At 43.6% G+C, this 6,438-nt stretch overlaps 1 protein-coding gene across 12 annotated transcripts in view; it reads left to right on the forward strand.

Moving 5' to 3' along the window:
* Window positions 1-787, forward strand: part of TDRD9 (tudor domain containing 9) — a 124,212-nt gene extending 123,425 nt beyond the window's left edge. For all 12 annotated transcript variants that reach the window (XM_006720019.4, NM_153046.3, XM_005267309.5 and 9 more), the window contains one exon: window positions 101-787. Coding sequence is in view for 11 of the 12 variants with exons in the window: in NM_153046.3 (NP_694591.2) it covers window positions 101-202 (102 nt within the window). In the remaining variant the exon portion in view is untranslated. The remainder of the gene's footprint in view (window positions 1-100) is intronic.
* The last annotated feature ends 5,651 nt before the right edge of the window (window positions 788-6,438 follow it).

Below are 6,438 nucleotides of genomic sequence, written 5' to 3' on the forward strand. Positions count from 1 at the left end.
GAATTATACTTTGTGCATCCTGGATGTTAATGCATGTGTATTTTATGTCTGGAAAAGCCCTGTCACAGAGCCTGACTGGTCCGCTTGTCTACCCCATTAGGTTGATCCAAAGCTGGTCATGGAGCAGGCCGACCGTGAGAGCAGCAGAGGGAAGAACACCTTTCTCTACCAGCTCCACAAACTGGTTGTGCTCGGCACCTGAGCATGTCCACAGGTGGCCTCCAGCACACCCCTCAGGAAGCTGTGGAGGCTGGATTCCAGGCTCCCTCCGCAGACTGACTTTCCTCTGTGTCTGGGTGTTACAGTCTGTGCCCACTGCATCCTAAAGGCCTTTTCTTTCTTCTTTTCTCTTTGGGTGATAGTCAGAGAGTGGTGTTTTTGTTCAGGTGGGAAGGATTGGAAACTCTAGTCTTTTCTAGAAACAGAAAATCACTGTATTAAATATTTTGGAAAGATTGTTCTGAAAGAAGTCTGTTTGGATAAAGAGCTGTATTTTGCTTTAAATTTATTAAGGTAAATATAAGTAGTTAATCTTAGATGTAAGGTTCCAGAATGTGCTTACATATTCTGTTCTGTTACAGTGATTTAAACCAGTAGTATAGGAAAAAACTTAAAAAAACAAAAAAACCATGTAGTATTTTCTGATTTTTTTTTCCATGAGGGAAAATATCTAATTTTTATAAGACTAAGTTGAGTTATACTTCTTGGTTCACATTTTGGAAATCAGAGATTACAGATTACATGGCCATAGCTTATCTGTGTTAAAACAATAAAAGCATTAAATGAAGTTTCTGTTTCTGACAGTTTTTAGTCAGAGGAGATTAAGATGTATTTAGTTCCAAAAAATCTGAAATTGTACAACTGATACAGGGATACAGACCTCTTTTAAAAGCTCAACTCACATCAGTCAGGGTTTGGTCAGAAGAACAGAGCTGTTGTAAATACAGCAGTGAAAGACGCCAGTGAGCTCGCACGTGAGAGGGAAGTTGTAGGATCAGAGAAATGCTCTGCTTAAACTGACTTGTCCCAGATGGACAATTTGAAGATGGTGAGGAAACAGGAGAAGCGTGTGCATGGGCATCAACTTGGGATCATAAACGGGAGCTTGTGTGGGGTCTTGGAAGCCGTCACATCTTGGGGAGCATTGGCGCTGTGCTGGGCCTCTGTGGGTTCGCTGGCCAGCAGCGGGAAGCTGGCAGATGCCAAGCGGGAAGACCACCAAGCAGCTGTGGTGGCTGGGCAGCACTGCACCCCTGTCACTGGGCCACTGTCCTGGCCTTCTGGGGAATGTGCTTCCCAGCCTTAGGGAGTAAGTGGTCATACCAAGTTGGCACACATGGAGGGCTCTTGGAAGGTTTTGAGCACGTCCAAAACTTGGTTCCGCTTTAAAGTGAAGGTTTTGCCCGTCGTCAGAAAGCCCTCTGAGAAAGCCTCCGGGGAGGGCAGCAGACACTTTGATTGGCTTTTCTCTTTGCTCTGCCGACCTATGAGTACTTAGTCCATGTGGGCAAGGTTACCAAATGTGTGGCCTTAGCAGTAGGGGACACTCACAACAGTCAAGCACTCATTCTGTTCGTTTTTTAACCAGACTTTTAGTAAGTGACTAAAAATTTAGGCCAGGTGCAGTAGCTCACACTTGTAATCCTAGCACTTTGGGAGGCCGAGGTGGGAGGATTGCCTGAGCCCAGGAGTTCAAGGCTGCAGTGAGCTGTGATTGTACCCCTGCGCTACATCCTGGGCAATAGGGCAAGACTCTGTCTCAAAAAACAAAAACAAAAAAATTTAAGTAGTACCAAGAGGCTTGTTTAAAAACAAAAACACCCAACTCTCAAAGGAAACCATACTAACTCTTCCCTATATTTTTCTGGAATTGCTTTCATCTTGCTGAGGAATGTTTTTGTTCTGCTTTTTCATGGTTGCCATCTTAGCCATCAGCTGTTGAGCAGCAGATGAATATTGGCTCCTTCCCACTGTTCTGCACCTCCTTTGCTATCTCTACGCACGGTCACAGCAATATCACTGGCCAGGTCAGTCATTGTGCTTTATAACGTGGATTTTGTAGATAGCAAAGAAAATTATCTTCTGTAAAACCAAGTGGTGCACTTCGACTGCATTGCCTTCCTTATCTATCTTAAGAGGGTACTTGCCTTGTTTGTTTGCAAAATTCTCCTCATATTTAAATACATAATAATGTTCTTAGTATAATAATACATGTCCATGACATAAGATGAAGACATTTGAAAAGGGTCTCTAGTGAAGTCTCTTTCATGCCCAGCCCAAGTGCTCCTCGGAGGCAGTCGTTGTTTCATCCTGGTGCATCCCGTCAGCACGCCCTGTGTTCCACACACTGTCACGGACGCTGAAGATCCACTCCGAGCAAAGTGGCCCAGGTTTCACTGCACTCAGGGAGCAGTGGGTAGAGGCAGATGGTGGTCAAATGCGTCAGGCGACAGAGTGAGAGCTGTCAAGCGGCAGGACAGGAGCGTGCACACTTGTTTTTGCTTTGTGGGCCATGTGGTTGCTGCTGCTGCTGTTCAGCTTTGTGTTGAAGCTCAGGAGTAGCCATAAACAAACGAGCAGGGCTGTGTGCCCGCAAAACCTGATTTATGAGAACAGGCATCAGACTTGAGCTTGGGTCTTAGCTGCTGATCCTGTGATGGGGGGAAGTACAGGGAGTGACACTGCTTTAGAGAAGCAGCTGGGGACAGCCTTTCCCATGTGACATTCAAGCAGAGGCCCGGCCCAGGCTGCACTGGAATAGCTGGGAGGAGATGCGTGAGGCTCCAAGGAGGCAGCAGGCCTGGTGCGTGTGAGGAGCCACCAGGCAGCCCGTGCGGCTGGCACAGAGTGTGGAGGGTACTGGTGGTCAGGCTGGAGAGCAGCCAGGCCAGGTGGGCCACACGCAGGTTTTGGGGTTTACTCTGAGTGAGGTGGGGAGCTCCTGGAGGGTTTTGAACAAGGGAGTGTCATGCCTTGATGACGTTTTGAGAAAGATTATTCTGGCTGCTGCATGGGGCATAGGGTGCAAAACCAGCACAGTTAAGTCCAGGAAGAAACACTGGCGTGCAGCAGGGGTGGGAGCAGTGGAAGGGCAGGGTGGCCAGACAGAATGTGCACCAGAGAGACAGCAGAGTGACCAGAGGCAGGCGTGGCACCACGGCTCAGAGGAGAAGGTTCTTGGAGGCACCATGGTGGTGGGCAGAGTGTTGACCCCCTCCCTGGACATAGTCTGGGGCTGTGTCCATGTCCAAACCCCCACAACTCCCTATAAATGGGACCGTATTTGGGAAAAGGGTTTTTGCCAGTGTGACTGAGTTAAGGATCTCAAAATGAGGTGATTGTCCTGGATTTAAGATGGGACCTGAAGCCAATGACAAATGTCCCGATAGAGGAGAAGGCCAGTGAAGGCAGAGGCTGAGATTGCAGCAATGTGGCCACAGCCACGGAAGACCTGGGGCTGCTGGAGGCTGGGAGAGGCCAGGCCAGGCTCTCTCCAGTGCCTTCGGAGAGAATGTGGGCCCTGGATGCCTTGGTGTGAGAATTCTGGCCTCCAGAACTGTGAGAATCCATTTCTGTTGTAAGCCCCCTGTTTGTGCTTATGTGTCCTGGTGGCCCCAGGAAGAGAATCCAGCCAGTGTCTTCGGGGTCCTTTCGGAGCTCCTTTCTTCATATATGGGCACAAGCCTCTTCATTTTCATGAGTCGTTGCATACTGCACATGCTGATCTCTACCTTGACTTTTCACTGATTGTTGTGGATTGCACTGCTAGATCCTGCACAAAGAGGTGCCTCATTCTTTTTAAGTGCTTCATGGTTATATCATTTTGTTCATGTTTCATAATTAATGACACCCCTGCAACGGGCATTTGGATAGTTTCTAGTCTTACTATTATACACAGTGTTGCAGTGGATGTCCTTGTACACCTGTCATTTCACATGTGTATAATTTATTATAGAATAAATTCCTAGGATTGGGATTACTGAGTCAGAGGGCATTTAGTAAATCACTCCCTTCCTAGATGTTGCCACATTGCTCTCCATAGAGCACACGCTCCCCCCAGCACTATAGGACAGTCCGTACCCAGACTCTCACCCTCCGAGTTAGGACAGTGTTGGACACTTGGGAGATGCCCTTTCTCTCTGGCAGGTGAGTAGTCTTGAGTTTCTCCTTATGAGTGGCCTGAGCATCCTCAGATGCTGAGGACCATTGGCTTCTCCTTGTATGTGAACTGTTTGTATCTTTTGCCAGGCTTTCTTTGTGTTAAAATTGATCTTGTTATGTAGTTTAGTTTATGAATTTTTATGCCGTCTCAAAAAGTGTCTCCCCTAGTTTGAGATTATTAGAATTCTCTCCCATATTTACTTCTAGTACTCTTATGGTTTGATTTTGTACATAAAATTTACTGAGGTAAAATTTACATACAAGGATTGCAAAGGTTGCCTACTAGGTGTTCTTTCAGAATTTCCATAGTTTTAGCTTTTATATTTAGGGCTGTGACCCATTTCAAGTTTTATTTTTAATTTTTTGCTTATTTTGTTTTTTTGGGGGGAGGGGGATCAGCGGTGATGAGAGGTTGATTTGCTTTTCCATACATTTTTTGAGAAGAATATACTCTGACCCTAAATTCAATTACCTTGAAAACTTTGTAAAAAATCAGCTGACCATATAGGGTCACAATTGGATTCTCTTATGTTACACTGGTTTATATGTCTGTCCTTAAAACAGTAATGCCATACAATACAATATTGATTATTGCAGCTTAAAATGCTAAGCCTTGAAATAAGATTGTGGAAGTCTTCCAAATTTGTTTCTTTCAAAATGGTTTTAGTATTCTAGATCTTTACCTTGCCATATAAAGTTTGGGCTCAGCCTGTGAATTTTTACAAAAATGCCAGCTGGAATTCCAATTGAGATTGTGTTGAGTCTGTGACTATTCAGGGAGCACATCTTGAAAACTGATGAACAAGGTATCTTTCACCATTTACTTAACTCTTCTTTAGCCTTCTCTTACTACTGTTTTATTCCTAGGTATTTCGTGTTTTTGCTATTGTAAAAGTTATTTTCTTTTGGCATTATGGAAATTTTCAAACATACAGTAAAGTTAATTTTACAGTGAACATCAATATATTCACTACCTAGATTTTACATTACCACTTTACTTGTTTTATCACTTATTTATCAATTCCTCTATTCTTCAGTCCATCTTTTTGATGCATTTCAAAGTAAACTTGACAGCATTACACTTCCCCTAAATACTTCAGCATACATATTAACCGCAGTGTTTTCTTTTTTTTGTGACACGTATATGCGTTGAAACATGTAAATCTTAAGTTTATCCAGTGAGTACTGGTGAATGGAACCAAACCCCAAGATACAGGACGTTATCATCACCTGGAAAATTCTCTCATCTCCCTTCCTAGGCAGCCTCTCACTCACAGATAAGCACCCACAGTTCCGAGTATTTTCTCCACAGATTAGCTTTGCCTGTTCTAGAACTTCAGTTAACATATTATTTTTTAAAAGTTGATTAACACACCTCATTGTTTTAAGGCAGTTTTAGTTTTACAGAAAAATTGAGCATATAGTACCGAGAGTTCCCCTGTGCCTCTCTCTTCTCTCTCCTCCACACAGTTCCCCTATTACTAACATCTTGTGTTAATGTGGTACGTTTGTTACAGTTGATGAACCGACATTGATACATTGTTAACTAAAGCACACAGTTTACATCCTCAGGGTTTACTCTGTGTTTTACCTTCTGTGGATTTTGACAGATGCCCGACGTGACATGTCTACCATTACAGTATCATACAGAATAGTTTCATTGCTCTAAAAATCTTCTGTGTGCCACCTGTTTATCCTGCCCCCCATTCCCTTCCCATTGGCCACCACTCATCTTTTTACTGTCTCCAGAGTTTTACCCTTTTCGAAGGAATGACATATATTAATAGTTCAAATCATATAGTATGGAACCTTTTCAGACTGGCTTCTTTCCCTTAGCAATGTGTATTTAAGGTTCCTCCATATCTTTTCAAGGCTCACTAACTCATTTTTATTGCTGAATAATATTCCAGCAATAAAAATTATGGATGCTAATTGGCTACTTGCATTTATGGATATTAATGGGCTACTTGGCTATTTCCAGTTTTTGGCAATTTGAATAAATCTGCTATAAATATTTGTGTGCAAGTTTTTGCATAGACATTGGCCTTCAGCTCATTTGGGTAAATACTGAGGAATGCAATTGCTGGATCCTAGGGTAAGAGTGTGTTTAGCTTTGTAAGAGACTGTCATACTCTCTTCAAAGTGGCTGTACCATTTCGTATTCCCACCAGCAGTGGATGAGGATTCCTTTTGCTTCATGTCCTCATCAGCGTTTAGTGTGAGTGTTTTGGATTTTTGCCATCCTAATAGATGTGTAGTGGTATTTTATTATTGTTT

The sequence above is a fragment of the Homo sapiens genome, chromosome 14, assembly GCF_000001405.40.
Source record: "Homo sapiens chromosome 14, GRCh38.p14 Primary Assembly".
Taxonomy (NCBI): Eukaryota; Metazoa; Chordata; class Mammalia; order Primates; family Hominidae; genus Homo; species Homo sapiens.